The sequence below is a fragment of the Homo sapiens genome, chromosome 7, assembly GCF_000001405.40.
Source record: "Homo sapiens chromosome 7, GRCh38.p14 Primary Assembly".
Taxonomy (NCBI): domain Eukaryota; kingdom Metazoa; phylum Chordata; class Mammalia; order Primates; family Hominidae; genus Homo; species Homo sapiens.
In genome coordinates this window covers 1,646,275-1,662,283 of record NC_000007.14, presented here as the reverse complement: position 1 = coordinate 1,662,283, position 16,009 = coordinate 1,646,275, and the positions used below count along the sequence as shown (strand labels likewise).

Below are 16,009 nucleotides of genomic sequence, written 5' to 3'. Positions count from 1 at the left end.
CTCCAGCCCCACATGACCACACCCACTTCCAGGATAAGTGAGGACTCATCTGGTGGCTTTGATACCTTTGCCCCCCTGCAGGTGGTTCCTGCGCCCTCTCTCTGCTGAGGATGGCCTGGCTGGAAGTGAATGACCCAGTTGCCTGAGTGTGTTTGGGGGAAGCAGGGGAGGGATAGAGCAGCTGGGATTAACCGCGAAGGAGTGGGGAGAGAATTCCCCCCGACCCCCGGACCCATCCTAAGGAAATGGTAACCAGAGAAGAATGGTGACAATCTCTTCCTGTCCCCAGAACTTCACAGCAAGAACAACAAATGCCCATAAAACCCCGAAGCCATAGATTAAATGATGTGTCCAATTTCTATCTCAGGCAAAGAGCCAGTTCCCCCTATATAAAGAGCTCTTACAAATCAATAAGAAAAATAGCCAAGAGGCCAAAAAAAAAAAAAAATAGACAGAGGTAATGAACAGAAAAGGAAATCAAAAGGATGTTTAAACAAATGAGAAAGTGCCTATGCTCACTCCTAGTGACAAAAGTGCATGCTGAAACTGTACTGATGTGATTTTTCACTCATCAGATGGGCACAGATTAAACAGTCTAAGGACACACCCTGTTGCAATAGTGTGGGGAAGCAGACACCCTTGGAACCTCTGAAACAATGTCAAAATTCCAAATGTACACACCCTTTGGCCCAGCATTTGCTTCTAGGAATCTGTCCTCCAGATACTCCTCCCAAATGTGAAAAATGATATATTGCTTTGTACAAGGTTATTCGCCGAAGCACTCTTTGTAACAGCAGCAGATTGGAAGGATCCTAAGTGCCCGCTGACAGTGCAGTGCTTAAATCATCATGGCACATCCAGCCGGATAAAGGTGGACTGATTGGAGTCCATCTGCAGATGTTCTTTAGTGTGAAAAAGCAAAAGGGGCCGGACAGTGTATATGGCACCTTTTTTTTTTTTTTTTTTTTACACTGTGTCAAAAAGGAGTTAATGAAATGACATTTTAGTTGCCTGCACACACTGATTACTGGAAGGAGACCCAAGAAACTAGAAATAGTGGGTGCCTCCTGTAGGAACCTGGGGGCTGCAAGTCTTGGGGAGAGGGTAGAAGGGGACTTTTTTTTTTTTTTTTTTCTGAGACAAAGTCTCACTCTTGTCCCCCAGGCTGGAGTGCAGTGGTGCGATCTCGGCTCACTGCAACCTCCACCTCCTGGATTCAAGTGATTCTCCTGCCTCGGCCTCCCGAGTAGCTAGGATTATAGGCACGTGCCACCACACCTGGCTAATTTTTGTATTTTTAGTAGAGACGGGGTTTCACCATGTTGGCCAGGCTGGTCTCGAACTCCTGATCTCAGGTGATCCACCCGCCTCAGCCTCCCAAAGTGCTGGGACTACAGGAGTGAGCCACTGCACCCGGCCGGGGACTCAATATAAAAAAATATTTTTAACGTATTATTTATTTACAGACAGTGAAATTCATACTTCTTCAGTTTTATACTGTTCAGAACTACAGTTCTGAAATTGGACAAATGTGGACACTGGTTGCCATCACTACCTCCATCAAAATACTGAACATTCCCATCACCCCAGAAAATGAGACTTTTCCCCATATGCCCCTGTAATGCCATTTGAATTCTGTGCAATGTGCAGACATGTTCCTTTATAATAAATTTCAATGTGAAAATGAAAATGGAAAATTGTTTTCTATCATCTCATCTGGTTCCCACTGTAACCCAGGGAGGTGAATCCTTCCTTCCCCCTTTTACAGGTGACAAAACTGAATTTTAGGGGGCAACTTGCCTAAGGAAATCCTGCAGGAGCAGGTTGGGATGGGAACCCAAGGCTTTTCTTTTTTTTTAAGACAGAGTCTTGCTCTGTCACCCAGGCTGGAGTGCAGTGGCACGATCTTGGCTCACTGCAAGCTCCGCCTCCCGAGTTCCCACCATTCTCCTGCCTCAGCCTCCCAAGTAGCTGTGACTACAGGTGCCCGCCGCCACGCCTTGCTAATTTTTTGTATTTTTAGTAGAGACAGGGTTTCACTGTATTAGCCAGGATGGTCTCGATCTCCTGACCTCGTGATCTGCCCGCCTCAGCCTCCCAAAGTGCTGGGATTACAGGTGTGAGCCACCGTGCCCGGCCTATTGTAGCTATTTCTTATAAATGGAATCAGACAATATGTGGTCTTCTGTGACTGGCTAGTTTCACTGAGCATTGTTTTTGAGATTCATCCATGTTGTAGCATTTCAGTATTTTATTCCTTTTTATTGCCAAATAGCACTCCACTGAGTGCCTGGAGCACATTTTATTACCCATTCATCAGCTGATGGTCATTTGGGCTGTTTTCGCGTTGGAAATGTGAGTCACACAGCTAGATACATTCATGTACTAGTTCTCACGCGCACATGTGTTTCCATTTCTTTTGGGTAAACACCTAGGAACGGACGTGTTGGGTCATATGGTAAGCCTATCTTTCACATTTTGAAGAGTTCACAAACTCTGCCAAAATTTTGATGCCACATGTTATGTTCCCAGCAGCAACGTAGGAGAGTTCCTATTTCTCTGCATCCTCGTCAACACTTTTATTATTATTATTATTTTTTTTTCTGAGATGGAGTTTCACTCTTGTTGCCCAGGCTGGAATGCAATGACACGATCTCGGCTCACCACAACCTCCACCTCCTGGGTTCAAGGGATTCTCCTGCCTCAGCCTCCACAGTAGCTGGGATTATAGGCATGAGCCACCACACTCAGCTAATTTTGTATTTTTAGGAGATGCGGTTTCTCCATGTTGGTAAGGCTGGTCTTGAACTCCTGACCTCAGGTGATCCACCCACCTCGGCCTCCCAAAGTGCTGGGATTATAGGCGTGAGCCACCATGACCGGCCAACACTTTTACTATTATTATTATCATTTGAGACAGGGCCTCACTCTGTCACCTGAAGGGTGACACTCTGTCACTGTCAGGCTGAAGTGCAGTGGCACGATCTTGGCTCACTGCAACCTCCACCTCCTAGGCTCAAGCAATCCTCCCACCTTGGCCTCCAGAGTAGCTGGGACTACAGCCATGAACCACCACGCCTGGAAAATTTTTGTATTTTCAGTAGAGATGGGGTTTCAACATATTGCCCAGGCTGGTCTCGGACTCCTGGGCTGAAGCGATCCACCTGTCTCAGCCTCCCAAAAGTGCTGGGATTTCAGGCATGAGCCACCACACCCGGCCTCAACACTTACTATTATCTGTCTTTTTTATTATGGCCATCCTAGATGGTGTGAAGTTGTATCTCCTAGTGGCTTTGATCTGCATTTCCCTGGTGACTAATGATGCCGAGCATCTTTTCTGTGCGATTGAACTTCTACATATCTTTTGGAGAAATGTCCATTTGAATCTTTTGTTCATATTTAAATTGGGTTATCATTTTATTATTGAGTTGTAAGAGTTGTAAAATATATTTTAGACACAGTCCCTAATTAGATGTATAATTTGCAAATATTTTTCTCCCTTTCTGTGGGTTGTTTTTTCACTTTCCCGTTGCTGTTATTTGTGGCACACGAGTTTTAGATTTTGATGAAGTCCAATTTTTTCATTTGTTGTTTGGGCTTTTGATGTCACATCTGACAAAATTTTGCCTATGACGAAGATTTAGTTCTGTATTTTCTTCTAAGAGTTTCATGGTTTTAGCTCTTCTGTTGAGGTCTCAGATGCATTTTTTTTTTTTTAATGGAGTTGTGCTCTTGTTCCCCTGGCTGGAGTGCAGTGGTGCGATCTCGGCTCACTGCAACCGCCACCTCCCAGGTTCAAGCGATTCTTCTGCCTCAGCCTCCTGAGTAGCTGGGACTACAGGCATTCGCCACCATGCCCAGCTAATTTTGTGTGTGTGTGTGTTTTTAGTAGAGGCAGGGTTTCACCATGTTGGCCAGGCTGGTCTTGAACTCCTGACCTCAGGTAATCCACCTGCCTTGGCCTCCCAAAGTGCTGGGATTACAGGTGTGAGCCACCACACCTAGCCTTGGATGCATCTTGAGTTGATGTTTGTATATGGTGTGAGGTAAGGGTCCATCTTCATTCTCTTGCATGTGACTACTTGACCCAGCACTATGTGTCAAAGGTCTCCTCTTCCCCTAGCCCCATCAAATTGTCTTGGCTCCCTTATTGGAAATAAATAGAGTAAAAATACAAGGGTTTATTTCTGGACTCTCAGTTCTAGCCCATTGCTGTTCATATCTGTCCTTACCACAGTACCACACTGTCCTCATTACCGTAGGAAGTTTTCACAATAGGAAGTGTGAGTCTTCCCACTTTTTTTTTTTTCTAGAAACAGAGTCTTGCTCTGTTGCCCAGGCTAGAATGCAGTGGTGCAATCATAGCTCACTGCAGCCTTGAACTCCTAGGCTCAAGCGATCCTCCCACCCTAGTCTCCTGAGTAGCTGGGACTACAGGCATATGCCACCACATCCAGCTAATTTAAAATTTTTTTTTGTAGAGATGGAGTCTTGCTATGTTGCCCAGGTTGGTCTTGAACTCCTGGACTTAAGTGATCCTCCTGCCTTGGCTTCCCAAAATGCTGAGATTACAAGCATGAGCCACTGCACCCAGCTGAGTCTTCCCACTTTGTTCTTTCCTTTTCAAGCTTGTTTTGGCTCTTTGGGGTCCCCTGCACGTGAACCCAGTGCAAATCCCAGCTGTTCCTCAGCATCTCTGAGTAGCTGGAGGACACGTGGCTGATACTTTCAGGGCTGAGGAATAACATCAACAAAGGGCACATTTATTAAGCACCTGCTGTGTGCCAGGCACTGTCTAAGTGCCCTGCCTGTGTTAATTCACCCACGCCGTGGGCAGCGGTGCTATTACCACCCACACTTAACAGTCAGGACCCTGAGGCACCGTGAGGCTGAGAAACCCACCCAGGACCACACAGATACTGGGCCGTGGCCACCTCCCAGCAGTTTGTCTGCAAAGCCCAGATTCTTTTTCATTGCTTTTCATATTGAACTTTGAAATGTTTCAAACATCTGGAAAAGTTGAGATGATTTCACAGTGAGCACCCAGATGCTATCACCTGTTATTCCACAACTGACGTTTCGCTAGACCCGCTTCATCTTGTTTCTCTGTCCCTCTGCCCACCCATAATCAATCTCTTTCCAAGTTGCAGGCACCAGTACTCTCTCCCCCTTAACCGGCCGACTGCATGTCATGATCTAGAGTTCAATATTCGTTTCAGATTTTTTATTGCTTTGAGTAAAATTCACATACCATGAAATGTATAACTCTGAAGGAGCCACTGAATGCTCTGACTAACGGACCACTTCTGCAGCCCAAACCCTTATCAAGAGACAGACATCAGGCCGGGTGCGGTGGCTCACGCCTATAATTCCAACACTTTGGGAGGCAGAGGTGGGAGGATCACTGGAGCCCAGGAGTTGAAGACCAGCCTGGGCAATGCAGGGAGGCCCCATCTCTACAAAAATAAAAAAATGAGCCAGGTGTAGCAGCACATGCCTGTGGTCCCAGCTATTCAGGAGGCTGAGGTGGGAGGATGGCTTGAACCCAGGAGGTCAAGACTGCAGTGAGCCATGATTGAGCCACTGCACTCCAGCCTGGGCAACAGAGCAAGACCCTTCCTCTGAAAAATAAAAAAGACAATGCCCCCAAAATGTTGCTGCATACCCCTGCCCAGTGCCTTCCTACCTCTGGCCCCCAGAAGCCACTGCCATTCTGATGTTTTCCACCGTAGGTTAGTTCTAGAATTCGTTCTAGTTAGTTCTAGTCTGTTAGTTCCAGTCCAGGTTAGTCCAGGGTAGATCTAGTCTGTTCCAGAATTCCACACACCTGGGCTCCTGGCGAGTGACTTCTTCCCCCTGCACAGTCTCCCAGCCTCATGCATGGCGTAGGTGTCCCTTTATTGCTCTGGGAGCTGAGTCCTCCACGTGTGGCTGCACCGCCATCTGCTCATCATGCTCCCCAGGGCAGGCACCCTGGACCCTCATCTGCATCACCCACCATATCATTTCTCAGCCTGAGGAAGGCAACCAGAATTTTTTAAGCCTTTGGACACCCAAGGAGCTCCCTGGTGGCCTCAGCTCTGGCCTCCGCAGCTGCTCACCTGTGTGACCCCGTGAAGGTGGCCATACCTCTCTGTGCACCTGGTTCCCCATCTGTTCCTCAGCCGCACGATGATCAGAGGAAGTTGGGGAGGGAGGCAGCCTTCCTGGAAGCCAGAGGTTGCAGAAATGCCGATCTTCGTTGGCGTCTTGTGTCAGAGACAAGCCATGGGATCTAACATTAGGTGAGGAGACAGCAGATTATAAATTGCAAACTGGGGCTGGATGCGATGGCTCACGCCTGTGATCCCAGTACTTTGTAATCCCAGCACTTTGGGAGGCCGAGGCAGGCGGATCACTTGAGGTCAGGAGTTCAAGACCAGCCTGGCCAAAATGGTGAAATCCCATCTCTACTAAATATACAAAATTAACCAGGCGTGGTGGCGAGCACCTGGTTACTGGGCTGGTTACCTCAGCCACTTGGGAGGCTGAGGCAGGAGAATCGCTTGAACCCAGAAGGTGGAGGTTGCAGTGAACTGAGATTGCACCACTGCACTCCAGCCTCTGTCTCAAAAAAAAAAAAAAAAAAAAAAAAAACCCTAAAAACAAATAAATTGCAAATTAGGGAGCCTAGTAAGAAGAATTCCAAATTTATAAAAAAAAAATTTTAAAACAAAGGAAAAGAGGGAGGGAGGGAAGGAGGGAGAGAAAGAAAAAGAAAAATTACGTATGTATACACACAACACACAGACACTTTGGTAACCAATGGACCACATTTGCAATGGTGGTCCCAGAAGAGTATAATACCCTATTTTTACTGCACCTTCTCTGAGTTTAGATGTGTTTAGAAACACAAAGACTTGTCCTTGTGTTGCAGCTGCCTACAGTGTTCAGTGCAGTCACCTGCCGTGCGGGTGTGTAGCCCCGGAGCCACAGGCTGTACCGCGAGGCCCAGGCGTGGGGTAGGCTCCGCCATCTGCGTTCGTGTGAGTCACTCTAGGATGTACGCGCGATGACAAAATCACGGAACCATGTATTTCTCAGAACGTGTCCCTGTCGTTGAGTGATGTGTGGCTCTGTGTGTGCGTATACACGTGTGTGTATATATATGCAGACACGCACACACATATGTAGCCTGGCAGAGTCACCGATGCTTTTTCTCTGTCTGCCTTATTTCATGTCTCTGAATTGTCCATATTCACTAGCAGCAATGTGGATTGCAGCTGGGCGCCGTGTTCCCAGGAGCCACGGCCTGCCCTCCCGGGCTGCTGCAGGGGTGCGCTGGGCGGGGCGAGGCTGGGCACCCCCTTCGCTCCCCCTGCATGCTGAAGGCTGGGGTGCAGACGGCCTCCTCAGTGATGAAGGCAAATGGCCCAGGCCTCGGGCTCTGCTCACCTGGTCCCCTGTGATTCATTCTGCTTTATTCAGACTGAAATAGGGCTAAATGAGAAGATAACAGGAGTGACATTTTGCAGGCTCCTACGTGGACTGCGCCCGGAGGTATCTTATTTCTTAAAACAAGTTTCAACCGCCAGGATGTTTCACTTGGAGGGAGAGACCCGTGATGTCTAGGAGTGGTAAGGAAATGGTAGAGGGGCCTCAGCCTCCACGCTGTGGGGTCCCTGGGTGGAGATGGAGGCACTGTCAGCAGCCACCTGTGAACGTGGCCTTGAGCTCAGTGCACCCCTCCTGCTGTTATGATGAAGTGGGGCCTCAGGACTTGTCTTCCCTCCTCCCCGGCTTCCCTCTGTGAGCCCCTCGGGGATCAGGCTGGTCTCATCATCACTGTCACTTTTGTACACAGTAGATGTTCACTGTAGGCGCTTTGGAACCCGGGTATGCTCTTCCTCAAAGCACGCCCTCAGCAAACAGCCTGTACACGCTGGGCCTTAGCCCCAGGACCAGTGCCCTGGCCCGCTCCCAGAGCTGAGCATGGCGCATTGCTCCCCAAGGCCTGACTCACTGCAGCCAAACACTGGGGCGCAGACGCCCGCTGGCTCCAGGAGCTGGATGGGCAGGCAGGGCGGGGTCTGCGTGGGGGCTGGTCTCCATCTCTAGCAGGGTGCTAATCTGGGCCTGTGTCCACGCACATACTGCAAGTGTGTGTGTGCCTGTGTGCATGCGTGTGAACATGTCTCTATGTGCACACGTATGTACCTGTGTGTGCCTGTGCATGTATGAGTATGTGAGCATGTCTGCATGTGTGTTCACAAGTATGTCTTGTGCACCTGTGCGTATGTGAGCATATCTGCTTGTGTGCACAGTATGTACCTGTGTGCACCTGTGTATGTGTGTATATGTGAGCATGTCTGCCTGTGTGCACGTCTTGTGCACCTGCGCATGTATATATGTGAGCATGTCTGTCTGTGCACACATGCATGTGCCCTTGTGTGTGTGCCTGCATGTACGTATGTGTGTGCCTATGTGAACATGCCTGCATGCTTGTGCACATGCATGTGCCTGTGTTCCTGTGTGTGTGTGTGAATTCCTGCATGTGTGTACACATGTACGTGCCCTTGTGTGCATGTGCCTGCATGTATGTGCACATGTGCCTGTGTGCATGCCTGCATGCTTGTCCACACATGTATATGCGTGCATGTGTGATCACCCTATTTCTTTCCTCCATCACCTATCAGCATCTACATGGAGCACCTGGGGCTGGGCCAACAAGGTGCCGTGAGTCTGACTTCAGGGCACACAGACAGGGGCAGGTGACAGGGGCTGCTGGGGTAACACCACAAGGAGCTCATAGCATTTCTGCAGGGAGCCCACATCTGTCCCTGTATCTGCGTCCTGGGGCCACCATAACACATTGCCACACGTTGGGGGGCTTAAGACAACAGGTGTCTGCTCTTTCGCAGCTCTGGAGGCCCAAAGTCCAAAATCAAGGGATTGGCAGGGCCGCGCTCCCTCTCATAGCTCTTGGGGAGGATCCTTCCTGCCTCTTCCAGCATCCCTGAGCAAGCCTTGGTGCTCCGTGGCTGGAAGACACGTCACTCAGTCACAGGGATGTCTTTCCTCTGTACACGTCTGTCTGTGCACAAATTTCCTCCTTTAAAAAAATAATTGGCCGGGCGCGGTGGCTCACGCCTGTAATCCCAGCACTTTGGGAGGCCGAGGCGGGTGGATCATGAGGTCAGGAGATCGAGACCATCCTGGCTAACAAGGTGAAACCCCGTCTCTACTAAAAATACAAAAAATTAGCCGGGCGCGGTGGCGGGCGCCTGTAGTCCCAGCTACTCGGGAGGCTGAGGCAGGAGAATGGCGTGAACCCGGGAAGCGGAGCTTGCAGTGAGCCGAGATTGCGCCACTGCAGTCCGCAGTCCGGCCTGGGAGACAGAGCGAGACTCCGTCTCAAAAAAAAAAAAAAAAAAAAAATAATCGAGGCCAGGTGTAATGGCTCATGCCTGTAATCCCAGCACTTTGGGAGGCTGAAGCGGGCAGATCACCTGAGGTAAGGATTTAGAGACCAGCCTGGCCAACATGGTGAAACCCCATCTCTACTAAAAATACAAAAATTAGCTGCGTGCGGTGGCAGGTGCCTGTAATCCCAGCTGCTCGGGAGGCTGAGGCAGAAGAATCGCTTGAACCCGGGAGACAGATGTTGCAGTGAGGCAAAATCATGACACTGCGGTCCAGCCTGGGCGACAGAGGGATTCTGCCTCAAAAAAAAAAAAAAAAAAAAATTGGAGGTTGGAGGAACAAGGTCTTGCTCTGTTATCCAGGCTGGAGTGCAGTGGTGCGATCACAGCTCACTGCAGCCTCCACCTCCTGGGCTCAAGTGATCCTCCTGCCTCTCAGCCTCCTCAGTAGCTGGGACCACAGGCATGTGCCACCACACCCGGCTGAAATGTTCCCTCTTCATAAGAACACCAGGCACACTGGATCAGGGCCCACCCCAGAACATTTTAACTTAATCACCTCTGTAAAGACCATGTCTCCAAATAAGGTCACATACTGGGGATAGGACATCAGCGTGTCCTTTGGGGGACACAGTTTAGCTCATGATAATCCCCGTCTCAGTTCCTTCACCAGCCCTGGAGCTTGACTTTATTAGTCCTTTGACAGTCAGGTGGTATTGAGGCTCAGAGATGTCAAGTCCTTTGCCTAAGATCACCCAGCCTGGGCACTAATATTCCCCACAGCAAGCTGGTGCCACAAATACCAAGAGGGAGCTGATCTCCATCCCAGGCAACCCAGGGTGGCTTCCTGGAGGAGGCGTTGTTTGACATGGGTATTGTTGGTTAGGGGGACTTTTAATCACTTAGAAAAGCATCGAGAGTCAAGTTTCAGGGAAAAGTCCGACCCCTGATGGGGGCGCTCCCCTCACTCTCTCCACCCCATCTTTTGGGCAGGGCCTCCCCCACCCAAGGGCAAGACTGCAGTTGCCCAGGACCTCCTGCTCGGGGCAGACCTCAGGTTCCGAGTCCCCATCTCAGTTCTCTGAGGCTACATGGGTTGGCCTTACCCCTTGATGCACTTTTGACCCTCCCTTCTCCTGCCACCCCAAGGTCCTCTGTCCTCCCAAAGCTGGGCCTACCCCAGGGTTCCTGACTCAACCTGGACAATGAATTGGCCTCTAGGTTCTGCCCCCCCTCCCCCTGAATAGTTCCCTGATCTGCCCTTCTGCAGAGACAAGAACTCCAACCCCCTTTGGAGTTTAGAGTAGATTTGGCATTTAGAAACGTGGGTTCACTGAGCGTAAGTCCCCACCCCACCATGTTCTCTGGGAACACCATGCCCGCCTCCAGATTTCAGCCCCTCCCCAGGGGCCTGGTCACCGCTCGGAGAAGCCTGGGGCAGGTCTAGAGAACATGGGAGGGGGAGGAGGAGGTGTGTGCCCGTGTGTGCCTGGGGTGGCAGCTGCCTGGCTCCGCCCGCTTCACCGTGCAAGATTCTCTGGGCCTCCATTCCTGCCTGCTCCAATCAAGCCTCCCTCAGGCTGTGACTGGAGCCCAGCCTTCCAACATTCCAATCTGGAAACCCTCATGTTCTCAGAAAAAGTCCCCATCCTCGGCCTGAGGACCCAGGGCTGTATCTAGCGCTCCCCTCCGGGCCTTGACTCATGCTGGTGCCTCCGCCTGGGGTGCCCTCCCGAGCCTTGGCTGGCTTCTCCCACGCCTCTGTCCTTCAGCCTCAGCTTAGGGGTCCTGGGCTTTTTCAGGCACCTGTCCGTGGGCCCACTTCCTGAGCCGTCATCGTGGGGTGCCTTGGTGGTGAGCCCCTTGCCAGGAGGGGCTTATTAGACTCCACTCCGGCAGCACAGGACTTTGGACCTACCTGGCTGGGGCCGAACCAGCCTGGGGGAGGGGTGGGCAAGTGGCTCCAGGGAGCGGGGTGCTTTGGCAAAAGGCCAAGGTCTCAGCACCCCCTGCAAGCCACGTCCTTGCCAAGTGGACTGGCCCAGCCCCGGCCCCTACTTCAGTTCCCCTTCTCCTGCAGCGGGCCTTCCCCTGCGTCTCCCATGGGAAGGCCACTCGCTCCAAGCCCGCATCGTGATGGACAACCAGGCCTAAGTAGGAGCTCTGCAGGGCTCTGCGGCAGCGGGGATCGATCAGGCTTCCTCCGGGAGGGGAGCCGGCACCTCCATGTCCGTCTCCTTGGCAGGAGCTCCCTGGTTCTGGCCTGATCCCTAGGGTCAGAGGCAGTAAATGACAGTGGCCTCCATTCCTAACCAGCCTCATCTGCCTGGCTCGGGGCACGCTGGCCCTGAAAGCCGCCCCTCGGTGGGCATTCGGTGCCTCTGCAGGGCAGAGGTTCAGCTCTGAGGCCAGATCGACGGCTGCAAACCTCAGATCCCACCAGAAGCTGACTCCAGAGAAATCACTTCCTCCAGGGTTGCTGGTGTGTGGACCCTGAGCCCACAGCCTGACTTGTGCTGCCCGGCCCCTGGGCCTCCATGAAAGCACGAATTCATGCAGAAAATGGGGCAGCTACTGGGGATCCATCCCTGGACTCCAAAAGCCATCTCCTCCAGTGCTTCTTCCCAGGACTCGAAACTCCCCCCACTGCTTTTGATAAGAATAAAATCCACCCCTCCATGATGCTGGTCTTCCTGTTTCTCCCATCAAGTCTCCCCACTCAGTGAGCATCAGGATGTGCTTGATTTCCTCCAACGCCAGGGAGCTCACTACTGCCCAGCTGTGGCAGCTGCTGGCTTTGTGCACCAAAATTTACTCACCGGGCTGTGTGCCGGGGAGGGATGAGCGCCCCTCACTGCACCAGACAGTGTGGTCCCTGAGGCCGTCCCCTCCTTGCTCTTAGCTGGTCTCCTCCACATGGCCTCTCCTCCAACCTCATCACCTCCACAGGGTCTCAGCAAAGGCCCCATCTCCCCTCTACCTCTCCTGGTCACCCAGCCACCGGTGTCACCCTGCGGACACTGATCTCTCGGGAGTCCTTGTGGAGCAAATCCCCAAAGCTGCCCATGGAACTTAGCACAAATGTTTCCCCAGGGTTTGAGGCCCACTCCACCCCAAATAATCTCCCCTTTTTTTGTGTGTGAGATGGGGTCTCACTCTCTCGCCCAGGCTGGAGTGCAGTGGTGCGATCTCGGCTCACTACAACCTCCACGTTTCATGCCTCAGCCTCCTGAATAGCTGGGATTATAGGTATGCACCACCATGCCCGGCTAATTTTTGTATTTTTAGTACAGACAGGGTTTCGTCATTTTGGCCAGGATGGTCTCGAACTCCTGACCTCGAGTGGTCCACCCGCCTTGGCCTCCCAGAGTGCTGGGATTACAGGCGTGAGCCACCGCGCCCGGCCACCTCCCTTCATAAAGCCGCCTTCTCAAACTCCTCCTTCAGCCCAGACAGCGCTCACCAGGCACACCTTACCCATGTTCGTTCATTCTTTCCAAGCACCGGCCCTAAGGGAGGGATCACGACTATCCCTGTTTGCCAAATGAGGACGTGAGATCCAGGGAGGTCATATAACTTGCTGATGGTCACATGGCCCGTATGTGGCACAGCTGGGGGCCAGGCACAGGCGTTGGGCTCCAGCGTCCATGCCGCAGACATTCTGCGGGGCCCGGCCCCTTCTCCACCCTTCCCGTCACCTGCAGGCTCCCATAAGTGCAGCATTTCAAGCTGGCAGATAAATGACCCTGATGATCCTGGCCCATCGTCACACCATCCTTGCAGGTCATGGAGGCTGGGAGCGGAAGGGGTCTGCCCTGAGTCACTCGGGAAGGGTCAGGAGGTGCCAGGAAGAGGACTTCCCAGGAAGAGGGGGGTGTTACGGGCTGCTTGGTGCCCCCGAAGCTCAAATGCTGAAGCCTGGACCCCCAGGACCTCAGAATGGGGCTGTGTTTGGAGACGGGGCCTTTGAAGACGTGACTAAGACGAGATGAGGTCATACGGGTGGGTCCTAATCCAATCAGACGGGTGTCCTTGTAAGAAGAGGAGATCAGGACAGACACGCACAGAGGGACAGCCCGGTGAGGACACAGGGAGATGATGCCATCTGCAAGCCACGGGCTGAGGATTCAGGAGAAGGCAGCCCTGCCCGTACCTTGATCTCGGACTTCCAGCCTCCAGAATGGGAGACGATAAATTCCTGTAGTGTAAGCTGCCTGGTCTGTGGGGTGTATTACTGTGGTCAGAGCAGACTCACACAGATGGGGCCTTCCTGACTCCACGCTGGGGGCTCCGGGGGTGCAGCCTGCTGTGGAGCTGGGCCAAGGGCTCGCTTGGTCCCGCAACGGGAGCTCCTCTTGCAGGCGCTGCTCAGGGCTCTGCCGGCTCCGCTCCGCAGGCAGCCTCCCCGCCACCCCCCTCCCCGGGACAGGCTGGGCCAGGACTCCGGCAGGGCCTGGCTCTGTGACAGGCTGTCAAGCAGGCAGCAGATAAAACGCCTGGCCAGGGTGACAGAACAAGATATAAAAAGCCTCCCAGCTCCTCTGTATTGACTAGAAACCTCGTGCTTCACGTCCCATTATCTCCCATGCTAACGGGCCCATACGAAGGCCGGTCAGTGGGGAACTCGGCGTCCTGGCAGGCAGGGAGACACAGCACCTCACAGGGCGCCCCAGCCCTCCGTCCTGGTCCTCGCCCAGCCTGGACGGTCTGACCGGGTAGGTCCTTCTCACCCCAACGCATTTCCATCCCCTTTGTTTTGGAGGGCAGGCAGAACATGACCGCCTCTCGGAGAGGAGACAGAGCTGCAGGCAGCTGGGAACTCGCCCAAAGCCAAACTTGGATGGCAGTGTGGGTGTCCTGGGCATCCCCCAAGGCGGGCAGGCCCTGGGCATCGGCTCACTCAAGCCACCTGAGCATTTGATGAGGAGGTGCTTCTGCACCCCCATTCTGCAGGCAGGAGTGCAAAGCCCACAGGCAGGGAGGGACTCACCCAGCATCCCTGCAAGCTGGAGCCCGTGTGGGGCTTCTGACCCAGGTCTGTAGGACCCCAGAGCCTCAGGGAGCCCCTGGGGCAGATTGGGCTGGGACCCCGAGTGTCTATAAACAGGAGCGAGGCTGCGGCCCTCAACCCAGATCAACGCCCACGAGCACAAACCCAGGTAAGGCACAAACTCCGTGGCAGCAGCGGGGTCCGCGGGCCCCAAGTTTCCCTGAGGCCAACGGCCCAAGCCTGTGGGATGCAGATGTGGTCTGGGCCAGGTCTGCAGAGGTCCCGGGTCTCCCCGCAGGGCCTCGCTCCAGGCTGGAGTCACAGGGGCTCTCTGCCTCTCCCCGCACCAGCCCCTCCGCCCCTTCTCATCAGTCAGGTGGCAGCTGCACACTCCTCCCTCCGCACAGCCTAGTTCCCCAGGGACCTCGCTGAGCCAAAAATGCCTGTGGCCTCTGAGGAAGCTGGGAGGAAAGGCACGCTGTGCTAAATGAAGGGCCGTTTCTTCCTTCCAGAATAGCTGCGGCCACAGCGCGTCCAACGTGCCTGAGCCGTTGGAGCCAATCGCAGCACGGGGAGCAGTAATTAATAAAAATGGGTAATGATAGACCATCTGTCCCAGCCTGCGCTCCGTGGCGGGGCCACGCCGGGCCCTCATTAGGCATTCCTCTGTCATTGTCCCCGCAGATGTTGGCGGTGGCCGTGTCGGTCTCATGGGAAGACGAGGTTGAACACATTTAGGCAAACGACACCAGCAGGCTGGGCCCGAGCTACGAAGCTCGCTGGGGTCAGCCCGTGCAGAAAGCCCCGGTGCGAGGGACCTCCATCTGTCCTCCACCCCGGATGGTGGCTGTAAGCTCAGGCTGTGAGTGAGGTGGGCCCAGACCCCAGCTGGAGCCCCACTCGCTGGCTCTGTGACCTTGGGCGAGCGCTGGAGCCCTCTGAACTTCCACCGCTGAGGTCAGAGCCAAGCACCAAAGGAGAGGGGCCAGCGTCTGTTTGGGAAGCTCGGGTGGAGAGATCAGGACTTCCCACAGCCTCTAATTTGCTAACTTGCAAGGGAGGAATCAGATCTCACACCGTGGCCCCCAGAATCCAGAGACTCAGTAAGGCTCCCAGATCATAGTCATGCTTCAGTGGAGAGGAGACCTCGGGAGAAGATGACCCCAGGGGTCCCAGGGTCTTGGAACTCTCTGGAAGGCGCTGGGCAGGGCTTACACTCCTTGAAAATTGCAGCCAGTCTATGGATCCCTGAGGAAGGGCCCCTGGCTTCCCTGGAGGAGGGTCCATCCCCTGGGGAGGGGAGGCTGGGCACCCAGGAAGGGAGGGGGACCCAGCATGCCCACGGCTCACAAGCCCAGTGAGAATCGGATATGCAGAGAGGCCCGGCGTGGTGGCTCACGCCTGTCATCCAGTGCTTTAGGAGGCCATCACTTGAGCCTAGGAGTTTGAGAGCAGCCTGGGCACACGGCAAGACACTGCCTCTACAAAAAGATATAAAATTAACTGGGCATGGTGGCATGCACCTGTAGTCCCAGCTTAAAAAAAAAAGAAAAAAAAAAAAGGGCTGGGCACAGTGGCTCATGCCTGAAATCCCAGCACTTTGAGCGGCTGAGGTAGA

The 16,009-nt window shown here is 53.3% G+C and overlaps 1 annotated feature.

Moving 5' to 3' along the window:
• Positions 12,628 to 13,135: an enhancer, noted in NCBI's record as "H3K4me1 hESC enhancer chr7:1688785-1689292 (GRCh37/hg19 assembly coordinates)". NCBI's record gives its function as "activates a minimal SCP1, AML or CMV promoter by ChIP-STARR-seq in primed H9 embryonic stem cells {active_cell/tissue: H9 hESC(primed)}" and the evidence as "EXISTENCE:reporter gene assay evidence [ECO:0000049][PMID:30033119]".